At 43.2% G+C, this 23,694-nt stretch overlaps 1 protein-coding gene across 37 annotated transcripts in view, besides 1 other annotated feature; it reads right to left on the bottom strand.

Annotated features, from left to right (window-relative positions):
• The window catches only part of ABLIM1 (actin binding LIM protein 1), a 370,264-nt gene that overhangs the window by 192,910 nt on the left and 153,660 nt on the right, over nt 1-23,694 (bottom strand). For 7 of the 37 annotated variants that reach the window (NM_001352441.1, XM_017016256.2, NM_001352440.1 and 4 more), the window contains 1 exon segment: nt 7,883-8,378. The exons of 29 other annotated variants lie outside the window; for them this stretch is intronic. In NM_001352441.1, coding sequence (NP_001339370.1) covers nt 7,883-7,898 — 16 coding nt within the window. In that variant the 5' untranslated portion in view covers nt 7,899-8,378. 37 annotated transcript variants of the gene reach the window in all.
• Nucleotides 10,591-10,885: an enhancer, noted in NCBI's record as "tiled region #11198; K562 Activating DNase unmatched - State 3:PromF". NCBI's record gives its function as "activates a minimal TATA promoter and a strong SV40 promoter by Sharpr-MPRA in K562 cells {active_cell/tissue: K562}" and the evidence as "EXISTENCE:reporter gene assay evidence [ECO:0000049][PMID:27701403]".

Here is a 23,694-nt window from a genome sequence, read left to right on the forward strand (position 1 = left end):
AAATTTGCCCTTGAATACACAGCTCCTGCCAGTTTGGGATAAACATACCTCTCGGTATGAGTCACCATCAGACAAACACACAATGAAATAGGAAGCTGGGCTGGTTTTTACTGTGGTGCACCCAGATCAAACTCAACCACAATGGGAAGAAATCCTGCACCACTCACTGATCACTGAACCTTCTGAAAAGTTCTCTGGCTCTTTAATGCTGGCTCAGGAAAACACTCAGCACTTTGACTTTGGCATAGGAGAAGCCAACAATACCAGGATCCTCTTTCTTGACCCCTAGGGCTGTGAATGCGATGGCAAAGAGGGCCACCTCCTCAAAATGAATCAAATGCCAAGATATGCTTCTTGGTGGGGTGAGTCTCTTGCAGTACATCTTCTGCAGGAATTTGGAAAAGTCAATTTGTCGTTCTTTAAAAGAAACTCTCTGTGATGCAACACAAGTTGTTCATCCTTCCTGGTCATTTGGCCTGGCATGGGAAAGGCAAGAAGCAATACCACCTCCAAAGTCTGACAGTAGCTAACAGTAGATGAGGCCCAACCTCCATTTCAGATGCCCACTGTCTACATATTCTTGACTTCATTCCTGTCATCAAAAATTGCCCTCAAGAGCCTTGAACACATTCAAGTCAATGTATTCCTTCTCTCATATTTATTTATATCGTAGAAATGACATCTTTTTCTCTCTGGATAAACATTTTTTAGACATCAATTAGTTGGTGTTAGAGGGCAGGAGATTTGTTAAGATTTTTTTTTTTTTTAAACATGTGAAATCCTTTCCTTTAGCTTTGGAAATCCCATTATTCAGACAGTACTTCTGGAGTGAAGCAGAGCCACACTTCCTGGTAAGAGTAACACTTTCATTTATAAAATAGTACAAGCAATTCACACTTGGGTTGCTTTCTCTCAAGCAGAATATGATGACAAAAACTGGAGCACCCCTCCCCACAAAGATGGGAAATTCACAGTTGAGTAGTGTGAATGTCACTGATCAAGAACAATTTATTTTGAAACTTGTAGCCTTGTAGTGTCTCCTTTAATCTATCACTTCCCTTTAGACCTTACTTAGGAAATGACCTTGTTGGTGGTGTCCCCTTTAAAAGACTGGGGCTTTTGAAGTTAAGACAAATCCAAGGGCAGGTAGGGGTGAGGCATTAAACTTCAACCCGTGGCTAGGAGTGGCTAGCATATGTGAAAGAAGATGCCTGGATAGTGACTCAATAGTCATCGCACACATGAGGAATTATTACACCACAGTGAAAAACCTACTGTTCTTAGCCTTTCCTGAGGATGGAATAGAAGTGGGTATTGACTACACCAGGCAGCGTGCATGCATCTGAGTGGGTGGTGTCTGTGTGGGTGTGTGTTTTGGGAAGACAGACAGCATTAGAGGCAGCAACACTTCACAGCTCCTAAGGTTGTTTTACAAGACTGCATATGAAGTCCAATACTTGAGAAAAAGAGCACTGTCCTAAGTTGCACAGGTAACAACTGTTGTTTATCTGGTGTTTACTTAGGTGCACAGAGTAATTCTAGAAGAATTCGCAGAAGGGATGCGCCTTCAAGGAGCTCTATAAGGAAGCCAAACTTGAGTTAGATCTTTGATAAATACATAAAAGGGGGGGGTACAGTATGTCTCACAAGGCAGGTAGACAGTATGACTGAGGTTAGAGCAGAAAATACCACCCCTGTGGTCATTCAAAAGGTAAAAGGGCTCAGGGTGGACATTAGCACTGGTTTTGGAGCCAGATAGGCAGAAAAATGGATAGAAAATTTAGCTTTTCTACATGCTAGCTAAGTGATCTCTGACCTCCTGTGAGTCTCCTTTCCCTCACCTATTAGGGGGAAGATACTACTTACCTTGATGGGTTCGAAGATTAAAGACATTGTATATGAAGCTCTGCCATTTAGTATGTGTTCAATCACTGACAGATTTAATAATAACATTAAAATGAAAATAAAATAAGATTGGCTTAGAAGAACATTTTTTTAGAAGTAAGCAGGGAGGAGGTATTTTAAGGACTTGAGGAGAACCCCGCATGACAAGCAGGAAGCTTTGAACCTTACCTTGTCATTTATTTGGGTTTTTGAGCTGGGAAATGATTCAGTGTTCTAAAAGGATTACTTTGGTGCCAGGGTGTAGGTCACATTTGAGACATAGTACATCACTGTCCTCAGGAGCTGCCAAGAACAAGGCTGCAGTGGCTTTTGGATGTGGCAGGAAGGGGCTACTATCAAACCATAAAGGGTGCTGGACCCAGCAGCTTGAGGCAGAAAGGTGTGGTGTTGGCTTCCCTGTTGATGCCTAACATCTGAATGCCTCCTGTTATTCCAAAGGGAAAGCAAGGCCTGTTTCTAATGTTATCTTCCTTAAGGTAGATTGTAGCAAGTTTGTACAAATCGGCCAAGAAATCTCAGAGTCTGCCTAAGAGGTATGAACTGGACTACTCACTTCTGATCACTCCCCAGTCCTTTATCCCCAACACTGGCTTAAGGTCTATAAAACTGAGCTCATCTCCTTCCTCCCACCGACCTCCTCCCTTCCTCTTCACCACTAGAAACTCTCTCCCATCCACATCCGATTCCACTCTGCTCCTCTTCAGTTCTCCTTCCCAAGCCTAGCCACATCTAACACTGATGCCTGCGTGTAATGGGTTGGACTGCATCACCCTCCAAACTCATCTATTGAAGTCCGAACCCCCAGTATCTCAGAATGTGGCCCTATTTGGAGATAGGGTCTTTACAGTGGTGACCAAGTTAAAATGAGATCATTAGGGTGGGCCTTAATCCACTGGGACTGGTGTCCTTTTAAAAAGGGGAAACATGGAGTCAGATAGGCACACAGGGAGAATGCCCTGTGAACATGAAGGCAGTTGCTTCTATAAGCCAAGGAACACCAAAGATTACCAGCAAACCTCCAGAAGCCAGGGAGAAGCATAGGACAGATTCTCCTGACAGCCCTCAGAAGGAACCATCTCAGCCAACACCTTGACCTCAGGCTTGTAGCTTCCAGAACAGTGAGACAATACATTTCTGTGGTTTAAGCCGCTCAGTCTGTGGTACTTTGTTGCAGTGCCACTAGCAAACTGATACCTGAGCTACTTGGACTCAAAACTTTAAGATCATTTGTTCTGAATCCTTCTCATTACAATCACCCAACCTGTTGTCAGGTCCCATCAATTTTAATATGGTGGCTTCTCTCAAATCTACCATTCTCTTTTCATTTCAATTTATTATATGTCCACATATCCCCAATCTTTAAAGCCTCAGTTTAAGAGCTGCCTGCTTCAGGGAGTCTTTCCTGATCGGCATACTTGGAAGCTAAGTCTCCCACCTTTGACCTGCCAGAGCACTGTACCAATGCCTCTTTAAACATCTACATAATATTAGTTATTTGTGAGCTTATTTACTTCCTCGACAGGTGGTAAAGAAGCAAAGGGCAGCTGTTGTATCTTCTAAACCCTTGAGAGCTTTCTGAGTACCCAGCACTTTGCCTAACACAGAAAGGGCAAGCAGGAGATGATAACGGAATAGGGAAGTTTCCTGACCAAAATGGGGCTTACAGAATCCTAAAGGAAAAGAAAGAACTAAGCTAGAACATCTCTGTAGACATATCTACTTTGATGAAGAGGATTCTTCCATTTTCAACAACTGAAATGAGCTGGGAAATAAGGCCCATAAATAAGGAGGAAGGCCTTTATTAGTCCTTCTGTAGCTTTATTATTTGAAGCATCTGTTTCTGCCAAAAGCTAAATGGCATCAAGGAGGAGCTGTGGTGGTCTGATTGACTTTCCATACAAATTGTTCACATCTTAGCCTGGGAACGGTGGCTCTTGCCTGTAATCCCAGCACTTTGGGAGGCCGAGGCGGGTGGATCACCTGATGTCAGCAGTTCGAGACCAGCCTGGCCAACATGGTGAAACCCCATCTCTAATAAAAATACAAAATTAGCCGGGCGTGGTGGTGCATGCCTGTAATCCCAGCCACTCAGGAGGCTGAGGCAGGAGAATCACTTGAACCTGGGAGGCAGAGGTTGCAGTGAGCTGAGACAGGGCCATTGCATGCCAGCCTGGGCAACAAGAGTGAAACTCTGTTTCAAAAAAAAAAAAAGACAAATTGTTCACATCTGTCACCCTCTGTGCTCAAGGGAATCCATTGATCTAAACCTTAAAGAGAACTGTGACCAAGGTGTCTTAGCACCCCACTGCTCTCTACAGCTGTAGTTCTCAAACTGGAGCAATCCTGCTCGCCAAAGGGCATTTGCTAATGTCTGGAGACATATTTGATTGTCATGAGTAAGAAGTCAGTGCTGCTGGTATGTAGAGGTCAGGATTGCTGCTCAACATCATACAATGCACAAGACAGAATCACGAAGAATTATCTCTCAAAATATCAGTAATGCTGAGGTTGAAAAACCTTGCTCTAGAAAAAGTACTTGCCTTGTGGGTATGTGTATGTGTGCGTCCCTACACACATGAATGTCAGGTGGAAGGTGAACATCCTTCCACTTAGACACTGGAATGAGTTTCACTGGGTCCCGCTCTATCCCAAAAGCAAGTTGGGCCATCCAACAATGTCAGAAAACTTCCAGGAAACCAAACAACACAAACAAAAAATGATGTGCCTAAACGTAAAATTCTATTTACCTTGAAGTTTGTCTTGTGACTAAATTCTTAGTCTTTTCACATGGTTCCCAAACCATAAGCATTCTTTATTACTTAAAATGAGTGTTTATAGAGCTTAATCTCTAATATTTGCTTATTTTTATTTTCTGTAACAAAAATAAATAATAAATCCCTTTTGTATTCTTAAAACTTGCACTATAACACCCATTAGCTAGACATTACAGCTTTTTAAATGAGTATAGTGGGCCTCTGGAGTATAGGTTGACGAGCGTGTATTTAGGAAGGCAGTTATTGACAGATTAACCTGCAGAAATCTCCTGTGCTTCTTTGTTACAGGATACAGCAAGGGTAAGGTACCCTTGAAGACATAAGAGAAATAACCATTTCATCAAGATTCCGGAATCAATAAGTGTCTGCAGCTGGAAGTGAATGGGTGCCTGGTCAGGAGAACAAAAGATAATAAGGTCAAAGGATGTCAGCAAATGCCACTCCACACTAGTGGAGGCAACCAGCCAGCGTGCTTTCTCTCCTGCCCATGTCAGCCCCGAACCAGGTATTTTATCCTAGAGAGAAAACTATGAGGCAAGCCAGTGTGAGCTCTAAGTGGCAAGCACAACAGGGAGTCTATGCCACTCCTCCTTGGGCCGGCCATGTTCCTCGGGATGGACATTGCCAGGACCCGAGCCTCCTCGAGTTGATTCCTGACAGCTCCACAGGGAAGGAAGGAGCTAGGCTTTTCTGAGAACAAGAATAAATGGAGAGGATTGGAGAAGTTTCTGAATCAAGAAGGCACAGGTTCCTGTTCCTGCTCTGACAACGGGCCAACCTGTTTTGGTTGTTTGAAGATCTACAGTGGGGGAAACACTAACCTATGCACTGGAAAGTTAAAGATGGAGACACAGTGCCACTTCTGAAAGGCTCACCATCTTGTGACAGAGATAGCAGCTGTCAACACACTGGCAATTGTGGTCTCTCATCCACTACATGGTGTGACGAGACACAGAGAATGAGTACTTTGTCCACAATCTGCTGTGTGACCTTCAGCAACCTACTTACCCTTTCTGATCCCCAGTTTTCTCATCTCTAGGATGAATGCCTGGACTAAACGATCCCCAGTGCCCTTCTCACTTTAAGGGCTATGAAGAAGTTCCCTTTTTCCTATGGAAACCCTTGTGTACCTACCAAAAACAAACAAACAAACAAACAAAAATGAAACGAAACGAAACAAACCTGCCTTTCTCTGTTGATGGCTGAGGTCAGTGCAATCAGAAAGCAGTGGTGTGGACTGGCACAGACCTCAAAATAAAACAGAACAGCCTTTAATCAGTGTCTAAGGGTTAAGATAATACTAGTATGTGACCTCTTGGTGGCCTGTCCAAAGTGTTCCAGTTAGAAGGTGGCCAGTGACTTGTAGAGCAATGTGAACCCAGGCAATCTAAGCTTTGGGAAGTCTCCAAGACTTAGAAAAAGAGCTGCTATGTGAGGACTACTGATCTATAATATATACCATATATAGCAAGGCTAGGTCTTCCAAGAGTCCCGCAAGAATGGAATGAAGAAATGGCTTTGTAATTCCCTTTCCCATCACTCATAAATTACTCATATCAGGGAAACAAACTCAAATCCATTAGCAACAGAGAGGAGTGCCATGTCATAGTTGGGTGGGAGCTACAAATGAAGAGATCTGAACTGCAGTAAATGTCAACATCTGTGTTTGGTACTGAGGGTTCCTGGAAGCACCCCCAAAAGAGTGGAAATATTATTAGAAGCACCTTTATTCACACCGAATCATTTCACTCAATTACCATTTACCCACTGAAAAACCAAAGCTACAGCATGTGATTACTAAAGATCTATAGGAGCAGAGTGAATAGAGCAGAATCATGTTTCTCTTTTGTCCTGAGGTGCAGCCTTTACACTGTTAAGCTCTCAGGATCCTGTATGTCAATCCATTCATTAATATAATAGAATCAAACTGAGTTTCAAGCAACAAGGATCATCTTGAGTTCAGCATTTTCATCTTAAATCTATTCCCTATAGTAGCTTTAAGATAAAGTAAACACAGGTAAGTCATTGAAATGGTTCAAGAACGCCCTGAAAGAGTAGATGTCCGTGTTTGGGGAGGAAAGAATGTCCCCACGGTAAGAAAATGTGACAATAAATCTAAGTGTACTAGACAGCAAAATTAAAGAGTGGTTATTTACATTATAAAATCATTTGGTGAAGGTCCCTAAGACATAATAAAAGAGAAAAAAATAAGTTACAGAAAAATGATCATAGAATGATTCAATTTTTATATTCATATGTGTCTGTCTCTAATTCTGGTCTAGAAGGGTCTAGCAAGATACACAGTAACTGTTAACAATTTTATCTCTAGAGAGGAGAGGGGAATTGAAGCTGACAAGGCAGGAGTGAGGGGCTTTCACTTTCCCTCCCTATCCTCCTGCAACATTTTACTTTCTTAAGACAAGGTGTGTTTATATATTACTTGAATCACTCAAAACAAGCACTGTGGTGTTCTTTCACATTTCCCGGAGAAACAAATCATTTCAACTATCATTCAATTCTGAAAAATGTACCTTCCATTTCAGGACCACGCCTAGTGCATAAATGATGTACACCTGTTCAGGCCACACCTGTCCTCTCCCTTTTAACACTCTCCTTGTGATATGATGTGGTTTCCTTAGCCATGTGCAGCATCCTTTAAGAAGGTGTTTGGAGGAGTGATTAGGGATAATAGTGAAATGACAGGTTATACACGCAGAGCACCTGAAGCCTTTAAAACAACCCAGCTTCTCCTTTCAGCCGGATCTAGCGAGGCCTGGGCATGTCCCAGCACCACACAGCCCAGCCGTGGCAGGAAGGGCCCTTTCATGACACATCTTAATTAACTTATTGATTGGTGGGGCGTGGTGGTAAGAGAGGAAGAGAATGATGGCTGGGATGGGGGGCAAGACGGCGAGTCTCAAACACAACAAAAAATTCAAAATGCAATAGCAATCAAAAGAGACATACACCCCAGAGCTCAGCTGTGCTCCAGAAAACAGGATGTGCTCCCGATGCGGTGGTGAAATTAAAGATTCTGAACGAAGTCTGGGTTCGATGGAAACCCAGACTTCACAATACGGAGCTTCTCACACCGAGAACATGTCCGCCCGGCTTTCGATTGATCATTCCCCGTTAGGTGGCCGAGCCCTGCGGTGCCATTCCAACTTCTGCAACCATGCACAGTGATCGATATTTATAATTACCTTTTTCCTTCACCATGGCAACCGGGTCCTCCGACGAGCAGGACTGAAGAAGGAACGAGGAATAAACTCTGGGAGTGGAAGCGCGCCTCGGCAGACAGATCCGCGGGCGCTGGGGCAGCCAGGAGAAGCCCCGGCATCCGCTTGTGAGGTCCGGGGCTGTGGTCTCGAGTCCCGCCCCGCCTCGGCGGGCCCCGCTCCCATGCCCGCCCCGCTATCGCCCCCGCGCTCTTCTCCGCCCGCCCGCCGAGCTGCAGCCGCGCCCAGCTCGGGGACTCTGCCCTGCGGCTGAAACCACTCGCTACAGCTGCTGCTGTAACAAATGCAAAATTCTACTGTCCTAATCTCTGGTCACTGACACCACCTTGTATTCCTCGCACCGAGGACGGGCTATGAAAAGCTCCCGAACGCTGGCCCCCTCCCACAGTCTGATAAATGATTGCCAGGAAGAGGAGGACCGAGCACCAGCTAGAGACGGTTCCAATAAGTAAAACTAGTCAATGGTTAGCTTATTGGCTCCCTGTTACAGTCGCTTTCAATTTTTACTACGGCTTCTTTCAGGCAAACTGGATAAATAAAATTGGCCTTAATGTAAAACAAAAACAGAATAATGATGCTAATGGCAATTTCAAGTTCACTTTCTTATGAAAAATGAATAATGACATTTGGTTTGCACGGCTGCTCCCCGCTATAATTTACCTGAATGGGGCTGGGGGAAGGTAGAGACTGAGAGACAGCCGGGGAAGAGGATCTTTCAGGATTCTATTCCTTATCCAGGATCCAATTCAGGATCAAAGTTAAAATCTGATTTATCCATGTAGGGGGGATTTTGACTTCCCCCTTCTCCCTCTGTTTCATCGGAGTTTTTAGACAAGCCCCTTGGATGTGCATATACCAGGGAGGAACTCCAGTCACAATTAAGGGACAAACAGCCTCATCTAGTTCGGTCCACCACCAGGATCAGCCTAAGCCTGACCCCACAGCAGCAACTCCTCAGGAGGCTTTTGATTTCTGACCCACAGGGTCACGGGCTGTCCTGTGACCTGTCCTGCTGTCCTGTGAGCTGAGGACTTCTGGTTCACAAAGCCAACACCCACCTGACTCCAGCCTCTGTCTCCCAAATCCAGCTTACCGGGTCCCGACCGCATGCCATATACATCCACCATGTGTGAGAAATGGGATGAGCAAGAGACAAAAAGACAGACATCACAAGGCAGGGAGAGCAGCAGATGGCTAACACATCTTTCAGAACCAGAATGCACAGCCAGTATTAGACGGTATTTACTGCAAATATTGTAACATGTTGAGTCTAAGAGAGCCAGGGGAACCGAAAGGAATGAAGTCAATCAACCTGCCTCCTCTTTGACTCAGAGGGTGTGTATGGCTGAAATAAACTACATTTGGTGGGTCTGGGGAGAAGCGGGAAAAATGCCCATTTCTTCACATTCATCTTGGGCAGGTCTTCATTGCTGGTTTTCTGATGTGTAACAGTAGCACAGCTCAGGCAGCTGTGACATTCCTACATCTGTGACTCAGGGCTTTACTATTAATAGCTTGGGTGTCTCAGGCTGTAAGTAAGAGCTAAGTCCCCTCCAGCCCCTGGGTTGTCTTTTCTATGACAACATACTTCGCCCACACCACTCCCCGCACCCATGGCAGCCCCATAAGGTCATGTTTTTCCTAAGTCAGCAGCCAGCTGGAGTGTAAGCACTGAAGAGCGTTTAAGCGACTTCTCTAACCTCCATTCATAAATATGAGCCAAGCACGAGAGCAGCTCGACTTCCAGTCCAGAGGGATGGCAGAGTTCAAGAGCATCCAGGAAACAAGCCCTTCACGTTCCCCAATTTTCATGGCTAAAACTGCACTTGTCTACTTTCCCACTCCTAATCACCCTCAGAGCCTTTAAGGAGATGCTGACAAGCAAAATTAACTGCAGAGAGCTGAAATTAGGCTGTGTTGTGAGCCTAGCAGGTGAATCTATTTTATTATATTTTTGCTGCTTAGGTACATGGGCATCTCACTTAAGCACCTGTCTCCAAAGCTCTCATGTTATTCAGCCCAAAGCTAAGGAAGCAGCTTTCTTTCTCTTTCCTTCCCCCACACCAGCCCCCATTCCTCCTCACCCCTTCCTTGCTACTATAATGTGACAGTAAAACACCATTGGTTTCTAGAGCAAACCCGATCATATGTAAGTGTTCCAGATATCGTAAATGCCATTAGCTCAATTTTTCTTTTTTTTTTTTTTTTTTTTTGAGACGGAGTCTTGCTCTGTCGCCCAGGCTGGAGTGCAGTGGCGCGATCTCGGCTCACTGCAAGCTCCGCCTCCCGGGTTCACGCCATTCTCCTGCCTCAGCCTCCCGAGTAGCTGGGACTACAGGCGCCCGCTACCACGCCCGGCTAATTTTTTGTATTTTTAGTAGAGACGGGGTTTCACCTTGTTAGCCAGGATGGTCTCGATCTCCTGACCTCGTGATCCGCCCGCCTCGGCCTCCCAAAGTGCTGGGATTACAGGCGTGAGCCACCGCGCCCGGCCTCAATTTTTCTTTTACTTGGGATGGCAGTTTAAAACTCTGAGATTTAAGTTTACTAACCAAATTGGTCTCTTATTACAGTTCTGAACCTACCTGTATACCTTGGTGGATAAATCACACAGAAACAGAATTTGGAAAGGCTCTCTGGCAGCTTTGGAGACTAAGTTGGCAGAGTAACAGCTGGTGCCTATTCATTTTCAGAGAAGCCTTTTCTAAAGGAAAATACTACATAGTGGTTCAGAGAGATTTTCCCCCCGCCTGTGTTTTCCATGGAAAGAATTTTTCTGTGCCACAGTCAAAGTGAATGAGTCACCAGCATCTAGTTGCTAAGTAATAGTCACACGGCAAAAGTCCCCCCGCCAATCAGACGCTGCTACTTTGGGATAAAAGTATCCACTCTGCACTTTTAAGATAACCAAAGAGTGTATTACTAAAGTTATTTTTGGAATGTGGGAGAGTAAAACAAATTGTTTTTGCCTCTTTGCCTCAGGGCAGAATTGCTAAAGAGCTTTAAGAACAGAAGCAAAGCATAGACATTTTCTACTTTACAGCTAAAGCTGCAAGAAGTGCAGCAAACTACATCAAGAATAAAAATGAAATTTATAGTTCATAAGAAAGAACTTTTTATTCTTATATCTTGAGATGATTTCCAAAGAACTTATCTCAATCTCATTCCACTCAGATGACATAAGTCTTCATAATACGGACACCAACCCACGGTTTTATTTGTTGTTTTCTGCCCCATCAGACTGACCCATTGCCTCCTTCTCATTCACTTACACATAAAGCAAGGGTTGTCCACAAGTGACCAAAGGACAGAAACCATTTTGTTGGAGAGAAAAGCTTATTAGCACACAGTCACTCTTGGCAAAAATTCAAGCGTACATCATTTCAGTAGCGATGCCAATTAGGAGGGAAATGTTACAGCTAGAAACAAGCAACCCGGCAGAGTCCACTTCCTCATAGCTTATTCTCCTCTACAGAGCCATGGGTCACTTACTGTACGTGCACCTGTAGTGCAGGAATTTCAGGATCCCTCCGTGGGACTGGAACATCAGGTGTCCAGTTGCTAACCCTCAACACCACTGGACTCATTTTTGTTGTTGTTGTTTTGAGACGGAGTCTCACTCTGTCACCCAGGCTGGAGTGCAGTGGCACATCTCAGGTCACTGCAACCTCCGCCTCCTAGGTTTCAAGCGGTTCTCCTGCTTCAGCCTCCCGAGTAGCTGGGATTGCAGTGCGCCACCACGCCTGGCTAATTTTAGTATTTTTAGTAGAGACAGGGTTTCACCACGTTGGCCAGGCTGGTTTCGAACTCCTGAACTCAGGTGATCTGCCTGCCTTGGCCTCTCAAGGTGCTGGGATTACAGGCGTGAGCCACTGCACCCAGCCCCCACTGGACTCTTTAGCTAAAAGCATGCTCAGAATCCTTTCTAGCAGAATTCAGCCAAAAGAAACCTGGAGAATGAGTTCCTATTTGCTTTCTACTTAGTGTTGGCATCAATCAATCTCATTTCAGAGATTTATGGGACACCTGCTGCGTGCCAGGTACTGGGCTGGGTATACAAAAGCAAGAAGAGAGAAACCACTGCCCAGGAGGTGCTCACCATCTAGCGGAGGAGATATATGCACACACATATTCTCAATGAAATGAGGAAGGTATTAAGACAGGAGTAGGCACGGGGTGCAGGGCAGTGCTGAGTCCAACCTGGGAAGTCAGGAGGGGCTTCCAGGAAGAGTAAGGAGGTACGTAATGACGGGTCAAGTGCAGAAAGAGGGAAAGTCATTCCAAGTGGAGGTAATAGGGCAAGAAGGCATCCAGTAGTTCACTATTGGTGAGGAGCAGGGAGAGGCTCAAGATGAGGCTGGGTGACAGGTGACAGAGGGCCCTCAATGCCACTCTAAAGAATGGACCTTAGAAATGTTGTGGTTAAAGTCTCAAACCTAAGCTATCTATTTCTTTCTAAATGGAGTTCAAAGGCTCTGGCTGCATTTCAAGGTACAGCATGATCTGTTTCCAACCATATTGCCTCCTGCCTCCATTTGGATTGTGTTGGTGTGTGCATTTCTGGTGTTTAGCAGACAGCTTGACATGGAATGGATGCATAGGAAGTGTCTATCCATTTATTTAAACATTTCCCAGGTCAACAGAATAAAAAGCCATACATGTCTCACACACACAGTATTTTAAGAAGTACAAGGCATCTGGGATTGGCTTATCCCTTCTATTGTAATGGCTTCAAGTTCACAACTAGGTTGTAAGCTCTCTGAAGGCAAGGAGGGTTTCATTCACACTAGGCTGATAAGAGTGTGGTTTGCAAGGCTCGGCGCAGTGGTGCATACCTGTAATCCCAGCACTTTGGGAGGTTGAGGTGGATGGATCACTTGAGGTCACGAGTTTGAGACCAGCCTGGCCAACACGGTGAAACCCCATCTCTTCCAAAAATACAAAAACTAGCCAGAGGTGGTGGCGTGCACCTGTAATCTCAAATACTTGGGAGGCTGAGGCAGGAGAATCGCTTGAACCCAGGAGGCAGAGGTTGCAGTGAGCCGAAATTTCACCACTGCACTCCAGCCGGGGCAACAGAGTGAGACGCTGTCTCTTTAAAAAAAAAAAAAAAAAAAAAAAGAGTGTGGAGGTTTGCAGATCACCAGGGATAGAAATGCAAGGGGTACTTCAAATGCAGACACCTGGTCCCCACCTCAGGTCTGACTGATAACTCAGATTCTCTGGGAAGGAGGCCTGAGTGGCAGTCAGCTTCTCCGGTGACTAAGGACCCTTGCTAATAAGCTGGCTTGCAAAGCACGAGGATAGACTGAGATTTACAAACAGCTATATACCATGCCATCAGATCTGAAAAACAATCCTTATACTCTCTGTTGGCCAAAATAACAATCAGCTGGACATTCACTGCAATCTTAATGAGAATTTATTAGAAGTGGTGATTCCAAAGTTTCCTACAGTCTAGGACAAATTCCTAAATATCTGATCCCTCTTGATCCTACTCACTCTCATGTCCTTAAATGACAATTCTCAGGATTTTTTCCATATGAATCTCATAGAATCAATGCCCGGCAAAGTTCTTTTCCTTGAGTTCTTAAAGTAGAACTATTTTATGGTTGTATCCAAACTTCTCCATGGTCTTTTTCAAAAGCCAGTTCTGAGTTTGGACCCAAGCAATAGGTTGCACCTCAAGAAAAATCGTGAAAATTACTACGGTATATTTAAAGTTCCCTCTAAACAAATCACTAAGGATATAAATGACAGAGTGAACAAAAAATAAATCATTTTCCTACAAGAGCAGCAAAAGCTATTACTAGAATTCTAAGGATCTTGGGATAGTAAAGAGTTTCAGAGATTTTAGCCTAACTTCAGACTCACGAGTACACAAGTACAAAAATAGTTCTCTGAATTATTTGGGAAAAGGCCATTTTTAAAAACAGTTTACTACCAGCTTTCTCTTTTATTGTAATATTTTCTAGATAGAAATCCAGTTATTGGGATATAAAAATGGTTGCTTTCTATCAGGTAGAATTGCAATGCCTTCCCTGACAACACTCCCCTCTTTCTGGTACTTACCACCACCAAGTGCTCTGAAGTTGACTATGTTGTAATGAAGGATGGACATATCTATTTTTGCAAAAGGTTGTGGGCTCTCTGAGGGAAAGGGTCACATGTTATTGTATCTGTGCTGTATTCACATAGTAATACACAAAGGCACAAAGTAGGAATGCAATATTTGATGAATAAATAAATATTCCTTTTCATACAAATAGACTGATTTCAAAATCTAACTCAAATAAATTAAGAGTAAATTCAGTCTCTTAGATAAAAATAAATTTAATAATTGCTTCAAAGTATTTGCCAAGATACAAACCAATAATTACTTTGGAGAGAAAGTAGGCCAAAGAGGAACTTCATCAGGCAGTCATTTTACAAAGTCCCCTTTATAACCTACCCTCACAGCTACTTCGGTCACCATTAGAGGCCAGTATGTGTCAGCCACCATTCTAGTCTCTACATGTATCACCTCATCTTGTCCTCATAACAACTGGATGAAGTACATATTATTATACTTTATATGTGAGAAAAGAGGTTGGTGAGAGGCCAAAGCCATGGGCCCTCTCTTTGGGTTACTGGGCCTTCCCTTCTGCAGAGGTTGTTAAAGAGCCTCTCGTCCCATGCCCTGCCTACACACACACACACACACACACACACACACACACACACACACACACAAGCATTTCTGTAGGCAAGGTGCACTCAATGTACATCAACAGGCATTTCTAAAAGGCCTGGCCTGATAGCAATGATGCTGCCCTTTGCCTTGCCTGTGTAAAGCAATCCTTTTTCCAGATACCTTATCCTTCATCGGTTCTTGGACTTCATATGGAAGGACCTGTCAGGTGAATAGCATCATAACCTTGGTCTGTGGCACTCACCGTTGGCTGCACAGGGGAAGATAATGTACCCAGACCCACATAGCAAGACTTCAAAAGTGCAGTGTAATCATCCACCCTGTCTAATCATTCTTAAGGAATGGCATTTCTGTGGTTTATGTAGACAGCAAGTTAAAATTAAAAACAATTTTTTTGCAAGGTTTACAAAGCCTACATTTGTTCCCCTACCTCATCTGGCCTTATAATAAATTCTCCTAATTATGCCCTGGAACAGTCCCAGAAAATAACCTCTCTCTCATACTCTTGGATTTGTCAGTCATCATCGGAGGAACTAGCCAAGTAAAACATGCAACACACACAACCATTACTGCATTTGCTACCACAGGAATGGCAGCTTTGTCATCTAACACATCTCAGCAAGTTTCTCTAGTTCTTAGTACAGAGAAGAGACCATGCAACCCACACCCTGGTTTGTGGAAATCTATAACTTGTATTCATAAATAGGCACTAATTAAGATAAAAGCAGAAGTCCTAAAGCAGACGTGTCCATGGTTACACAATTACTTAGAAATGGGTCAAAACCCCTCACATCCTGCCGCCTACCCAGTGGTTATTCTATCATGCCACACCGGCCACACAGGCCGCCTGATTAAACACAGGCTGGGTTTGAATTCTAGCTCCACCACATGCTGAGTGACCCTGGGCACATTGTTTTCTCTGTCTGGGTTTCAGCAGTCTCAGCTGTGAATGGTATGAGACGTTCCACTTGTGAGGTTGTGGTGAGGACAGCGGCAGCTTCATGGCATGTAACCTGCAGCGTTGCATAGGTTCAGAAGATGTTCATGCTCAGAAGATGTCTCTATTTGGTTTAATGCTTTGCTATTGCCATCCTGACATTTGTAATAATTTAGTCTTTGAACTTGTGTTTTGTAAGTGAAGTCTGATGGGAGAGCGGAGCACACATGTGAACAGATGAGATGCGTGCAGTTTGTGTGTTTGCTATTCCTGCTGCCCGTGCACACAGAGTGTTTGCAACACCCCGTGAGCACAGGATTCCACTGCAGTCACAATGTGTAGGAATTCAGGGAGACTCAAAGTGAGGACAAGGTGTGTTATATCCATAACTGAGTCACATTCCACTCAAACCAGGATGCTTGCTTTGAATGCACGGAGAAGGCAATGATGTTCTAGGAAATACAAACAACCAAGAAATCTTATTATATTCCTTCCTATCCATGTTAGTTCCCTATATTAGCCAACCACTCACACCAAAAATGATGACATAGAAGGAAAGGGAAAGACAGGGCAACTAGCGCTGTCTTCCTTTTAGCCCTTCCTTATTCATCAATAAGTCAAAGGTAGAGAACATTGGTAAAATGTGCACGTATCAAGAAGTGAAATGAAAACAGTTGAGGGCTGGGCACGGTGGCTCACGCCTATAATCCCAGCACTTTGGGAGGCCGAGGTGGGAGGATCATCTGAGGCCAGGAGTTCGAGACCAGCCTGGCCAACATGGCGAAACCTCGTCTCTACTAAAAATACAAAAATTAGCTGGGCATGGTGACGGGTACCTGTAGTCCCAGCTACTTGGAAGGCTGGGGCAGGAGAATCGCTTGAACCCAGTAGGCGGAGGCTGCAGTGAGCCGAGATCGCGCCACTGCACTCCAGCCTGGATGACAGAGCAAGACACCATCTCAAAACAAACAAACCAACAACAACAACAACAACAACAACAAAAAACAGTTGAGTCAGATTTGTGTACGTATTGTGTATTTCTACTGTTCTAAAAAGAATAAAGTACATAACATCTATGACCCGTGTAATACAAATTGTGTAATTTCAGTGATTCCATTGAGTTAAAAGTTGTTGTATTTGCACTTAAAATTGGCTTTGCACAATAAAAGGTAAAATTCACATTAATAATTTAAAATTTTAATTTTACTTTATTTAGGATGACATTAAATAGAAAATAAGAACTACTGAGTTGAGAGAATCTGGGGAATAAAGAAAAAAGCTTTATATTTGAGTACCACTAATGGCACTTTCTCCTGCATTTTAAACAAGGGGTCCCACCTTTTCCTTTTGCACTGGGCCTGAAAATTATGTATCCTGTGTTGGGTGAGAATAACAGGTGTTCTATCCCAAAAGAAAGTACCTAGCACTAAGAAGGAACGCAGTTAAGGGTAATAACTATTGTTATTTCATTTCTCACTGCCTCATCAATTCACAATAAAACAGGATAAGCTTGAAAACTGAAATTCAAGTTTTCAAAAGCACTTGAAGGTATAAGGAGACTTTTAATAATATCGAAGCTGGGGGATTTAACCTGTAACATCTTAAAGAATTTAGACCCCCTCCTGATATTTTGTTATATGACCTCTGCTGCCAAATGAGAAAGTCACTGTGAAGCCAATCATAAAAAAAAAAAAAAAAAAAAAAAAAAAAGTGGACTTCGATGTTAGCAAATCTTCCCAGGAAGACATGGTTGTTATCTTCAACCTATTCATTCATGCAACACATATTTATCAAGTGTTTCCTAAGTGTCAGGAACTGTTCTAGGTGTTGGGATATCACAGCAAAGAAAACAGACAAAAATCCTTGCCATGAAGGAGCTATGTCCTAGTTGGGAAGGTTGAAGTTGACATAATAAACTACATGAGTAATGTATACATATATACAAATCTGTATGATTATATATTAGAAAGCGGTAAGTACTATGAAGAAAAGCAAGGCCAGGGACAGAGACTGCTAGGGGGAGAAGCTGTGGTTTTAAGTAGAGTAGTAGAGGAAGGCCTCTTTGAGGACGTGCTATGTGAGTAAGTACCTGAAGAAGGGAAGAGAATAAGCCGTGTAGATTCTGAGGAAAAACCACCCCAGACAGAGTAAGCAGTAAGTGCAAACGTCCTGAGACGGGAGCCCACCTGGTATGTTCAAGGCAGTGGAGAGGCTGGTGAGATCAGGAGGCAGACAGCAGGAGGCATGAAGTTAGTGAGGTGGAGGAGTTAGGGCCTGCAGGTCATTGTAAAGGGCCTTGGCTTTTCCCCTAAGTTGTTTTGTTTTGTTTTGTTTTGAGACAAGGTATCACTCTGTTACCCAGGCCAGAGTGCAGTGGCATGATCATAGCTCACTGCAGCCTCAACCTCCAAGGCTCAAGTGGCCCTCCCACGTCAGCCTCCCAAGTAGCTGGGACTACAGGTGTGCACCACCATACCTGGCTGATTTTTAATTTTTAATTTTTTTTTTTTGTAGTGACAGGGTCTTGCTATTGCACAGGCTGGTCTCGAGCTCCTGGCCTCAAGTGATCCTCCAGCCTTGGCTTCCAAAAATGGTGGGATTACAGATGTGAGCCCACTGCACCCAGTGCCACTGCAGGAGTTGAGCAGAGAAAGTGGCATGATCTGATCGTCAGCTCCATGGGATCCTCTGCTGCTCTATGGAAACTAGAGTTAAGGAGAGTGAGCACAGATGCAGAGTGCTGAATTACTGCATGAAATAAAAAAGAGCTCAAGGATGAAATGGTGACACAACAGGACTAGATGAAAAAGGTTAGAGAAATTAAGAAATAAAAACCAAGGACAAAGATAATTTCAATAGTAAGAATGGAAATATCAAAGAACAAAACAAACACTGATAAAATATCTAATTCCTAGCATAGAGAAAACTTTGAAATGATTTCAATGAATGCAGAAGAAAGAGCCTCAAACAATGAGAGAAAACAATAGATGTGCAAGATGAAGAAAGATTTTTTTAAATGTATATCCTAGAAGTAGAGAACCTAAGAAGCAGATGTATTCAAAGATTAAATACACAAGAATACCTCTGAAATGAAGAGACAGCTGAATTCACAGATTTAAAGAGTATAGATATAATATATTTTGGCAAAATTTGATACAGAATGCTGACTCCAAGTCCTAGACTAAGGCTTCGAACTCCAAAAGATATCATTCTCCATATGTCCAGGCAGAAAACCCCTACTGCTCACAAAAAGAGAAAAACTCAGGCTAGCCTCAGACTTCTCAACAGCAACACTGATACTTAGAAGATGATGAAGCAATACCTGGATGTCTTGAGGGAAAGAAAGAAACTTACACCTGCCAAAATGTCCGAGAACCTGCCAAAAGAACCAAGAAACTTACACCTGCCAAAACGTCGTTCAGAGATAAGGGCAATGGGCAAACCACCACAAACAGAAAGGTGTTCAGGAAGCACAACACCGTGAACCCTTCTTGGGAAAACTGCTGGAAAACAACATCCAGCCAATTAAGAGATGAATTAAAATAAACTCAGGAATGCAAACACTACTAAAAGTGCTAGCAGTGAGCAGTGAATTCAATTAAATAGGAAACTGACACCACAATTACCTGATTATGGTTAGAGAGGAATATGGAAATGTTTTGAGCAAAGGGAAATGTGAAAACAACATTACAACTAACAAAAATCGGAGGTGAGTAGGAGACAACTATGAGAGTGCTGTTGTTCTCGTGTACACAGTAGGGAGGTAATGACTGGCACCAGACTGTACAAGATTCTTCATCTAAGCATCTCACAGAAGCAACCTCAGATCACATCACACAATCACTTCATCTTTGCTTAGAGATTATATAAAATCTCATCACTGTGTTTATACCCCAGTTCCTGTTTCTTGGACTTGGTAAGGCAAAGGGTATCATAAGGCAAATATATCTTCAGGATTTTTTAAGAAAAGGGAGATGACATAGCTTTAACTTTTTACTGATTATATCCAGATTCTTTTTTTTTTTTTTTTGAGATAGTGTCTCACTCTGTCACACAGGCTGGAGTCCAGTGGCAAGATCATGGCTCACTGCAACCTCAAATCCTGGGCTCAAGTGATCCTCCCACCCCAGCCTCCTGAGTAGCTGGGACCACAGACATGCATCATTATATCCAGCTAATTTTTAAATTTTTTTAGAGAGGGAGTCTCACTACATTGCCCAGGCTAGGTTTAAACTTCTGGGCTCAAGCAATCCTCCTGCTTCAGCCTCCCAAAGTGCTGGGATTACAGGTGCGAGTCACTGACCCTAGCCTATATCCAGATTCTTAGTGCAAGAACCAAAATTGTTTCTAATTCATTAACATTTAAGATTTCTACAGCATGTTTCTTTCGGACAGACTGATGAATAAATAATTTTTAAAAAATACCATGGTTCTGGCCAGGCACAGTGGCTCATATCTGTAATCCCAGCACTTTGGGAGGCCGAGGCGGGCAGATCACAAGGTCAGGAGATAGAGACCACCCTGGCTAACATGGTGAAACCCCGTCTCTACTAAAAATACAAAAAATTAGCTGGGCATGGTGGCGGGCACCTGTAGTCCCAGCTACTCGGGAGGCTGAGGCAGGAGAATGGCATGAACCCGGGAGGCGGAGCTTGCAGTGAGCCGAGATCACACCACAGCACTCCAGCCTGGGTGACAGAGTGAGACTCCATCTCAAAAAAAAAAAAAAAAAAAAAAAAAAATATATATATATATATATATATATGTGTATATATTGTATATATACATATATATATACACACACACATTGGTTCTAAGGATAATCACATGGGGTTTTATTTCATATTTCCTGTTATTTAACCTGTATATTCATGAAAATGCCATGGAATTCTCAGGACAAGATTTTCATTCAATATGGAATCATTGCCTAGGTGTAATGATCTTTCTTGACGGACCTTGTCGCATTCATTGCTCGTCTGTCCCTGCTCTACCCATCTTGTGAGTAGGCACTGAGCCGTATGACTCCTCCCCTTGCCTATGGATGACTAGGTTGTTAGCAGACACTGGATCAGAGAGAGGCCCATACATCAGCTGGCCAACAGCTTTTTATCCAGTTTTGAAAAAGATGAACTGGGCCAATTAGATTTTTACTCCTAAGAATCTGAAGTTAGAGAAACATATAAAAGTCCCAGTCAGTGATGGATATTCACCTTAAAAGATAAAGTTAGGCCAGGCCAGGTGCAGGCATCACAGAACCATGTGTAGACCAAAGTCCCAAGGGACAGAGTGTCAGAGGAAGCCAGACGGGCGGGAAGAGAATAGGGCCTCCCCTCAAACTAAACTGCTGGTCCTGGAGCAGCCTGGAATTCTGTACTTCCTGAGGCCTGGCTGTCCAGCATTTCCTGGGTTCCTATCCCCCATCTCTCTACCTATTTTGATTGGGTTATTGAAAAGTATAAGTGGATTTCTGTTCTTCAGAAACAAAAGATCCTCCATTAGAATGGAGAGGGAATGTTTACCAAAATAATATCTCAGTTGGGATCATTTGCAATGGAATCTGTCAGCGCCCTACCCATACCTCCGTGGCACTCGCCTCTACAAGTCAGATGTGATTACTAGAAGCATCAAAATGCGTGAGTTAATGTACCTGAAAGCAGCTATCAAACAATGGTGATGGGGAGGTGGTAGATAAATACCCCAGCTTCCTCACCCCTTGGCTGGGATATCTCTGCAGCACATCCCACACTACCTCTTAGACTTCCCAATGGATTGAGAATTGCTGCCCACACTGGTAACTGGCTTGATATTGCACCTTTTATTAGCCTCACTCCTCTACCAGTGATTCCTAGGATCACCTTCCAAATAAATTACTTGCTTTTAAGTTTTCCTCGCAGAGTCTCTTTTTTTTTTGGCAGGGAGTTCTAAACAAAAGAGAATCTAAGATCCATATTTTTATGCTAAAAAAAATTTTGTCTTGAGTCACTGATCACTTTCATCTAAAGATAACAGAGACAGATTCTAAATAGAACAATGTCCTGAAAAGACCAAGCATGTTCATCAGACAGAATATATTTTTTTCTCAAGAAAATCAATCATTAATTGGATCACCTTATTATACAAACACAAAGGAACTTGTATGCACACAGACTACGCCAAAGTACTTCTTCCTTTAAAATATGTAAAGGAGACAACTTAGATTAACTCTGGTAGCAGAGGTCAGAACTACCAACTGCCTCATAAATAAATATGCCCCCAAAATGTCCTTTTGGCCTGTGTTTATGTTTTAGGCAGAAGGATGTGACTTATGACATTTACCAAGCTCTATAAAAATGAGTCATTTTATAACATTTACACATATATTACATGGGCTCTCTTTTTACCATTTTAAACAGCTGCATATTGCTACAATTCAACCAAAGATTGTGCTAGTACTACATGCCATATGCCAAGTTGGCTGTACATTCGAAAGAGATACAGAAGGTAGGTCTCTTCCTTTCCTTTCTCTCACTATCTCTAGCAAGATGAAAACACTCCGCATATGTATTGTATTTGTTGGGATTTGGAGGAGATTAGAGGGTGGACAGGAAGGAAAATATTTAGAACTTAAATTCTTCTTGGTTTTGGATCTGGATTACACAATATTTCCTCTTCCTGAATAACGTATACTAAGAGCACTGAGCATTTACCAATATGCTTCATTGGCCATTAAATTTGCACACAGGAAAAAAAGCAACTAAGCCACAAGATGAGCATTCAGCCATAGCATCCACAATTGAGAACTAGGTGGGCAAAAATCAAAGGAAAAAATGAAGAGAAACAAATGAATGTTGACCCATTAATGAGGCTAACAATATTTACTGAGCATCTGCAATATGCGAAGTATCACCTTCAAGGAGCCACAAGTGGTATAGAGATCAAAGATACCTAAACTAAGCCCTCAACAACCTTACATCTAAGTAGACCAAACAGCACAAGGACCTAAATAACTCTAAAACAAGGCAGAAAGGGATTGGAATCAGAGATACCGACCAAACGGTATGAAGATTCAAAGGAAGGAATGCTTGCCGCTCAGCAAGAGAGATAAGGTGAGCTTCAAGTCTAATGTGGTCCTCACGACTACAGGAGGAGTTACAGGAGGTTGGCTGGGCTCAACATCTTTTCAGCAGCTGCTGCCACATATAGAAAAATGAACTGGATCACTCTTGGTATGTAGATATAGAAGTTAACCAGGAAATGTGTTGGATCCTGTTTGCATCTTCTTTAAACTCTTAAAATAGACCAATTGAACCACGATCTATGTGAAATCAAGTTCAGTTGAAGTATTACTAAACAATTAACTTCACTTAGTATTCCCATCATGGATAGCACTGGACCAATTGGTGACCTCAAAGATTAGACAGTTTTTTAAATTAATTAATAAATTAATTAATATTTATTTATTTATTTTTGAGACAGGGTCTCACTCTGTCACCCAGGCTGGAGTGCAGTGGCACGATCTTGGCTCACTGCAACCCCTGCCTCCTGGGTTCAAGCAATTATTGTGCCTCAGCCTCCCAAGTAGTTGGGATTACAGGTGTGTACCACCATGCCCAGCTCATTTTTTTGTATTTTTAGCAGGGACAGGGTTTCACCATGTTGGGCCAGACTGGTCTTGAACTGCTGACCTCAGGTGATCCGCCTGCCTCGGCCTCCCAAAGTACTGAGATTACAGGCGTGAGCCACCGTGCCCAGCCTAGGCAGTTATTAAGTAGCCACTGCCCCTATAATGCCACTGGCTACCAAGTGAAGATAGAGTCTGTGCCCTTTAGGGAAAAGAGCCCAAGGAAAGGATAACAGAACATATCCAGCTACACACTAGAATCACATGATAGCACTTCAGGGAAAAGACCAATATGAAACAGAACTGGGAATTGTCCCACAAGGACAGCAAATATTAAACACCCCAGAATATTCTAGTGATGTCAAAAATGACCTTACAAAATGATCCAGGTCATGATGGACAGAAAGGGAGCTGGCTGAGCGCTAGCTGTGGCCCTAGCTATTTGACTTTTCTTCCCCAGCTCATCTTTATCCCAGGAGATCCTACTCTATGGCATGAGAATTCTCCCTCTCCACTTGGGCTGCAGACAAACCTTTGTGAGCTAGATT

This window comes from Homo sapiens, chromosome 10, assembly GCF_000001405.40.
Source record: "Homo sapiens chromosome 10, GRCh38.p14 Primary Assembly".
In the NCBI taxonomy this organism is placed as follows: domain Eukaryota; kingdom Metazoa; phylum Chordata; class Mammalia; order Primates; family Hominidae; genus Homo; species Homo sapiens.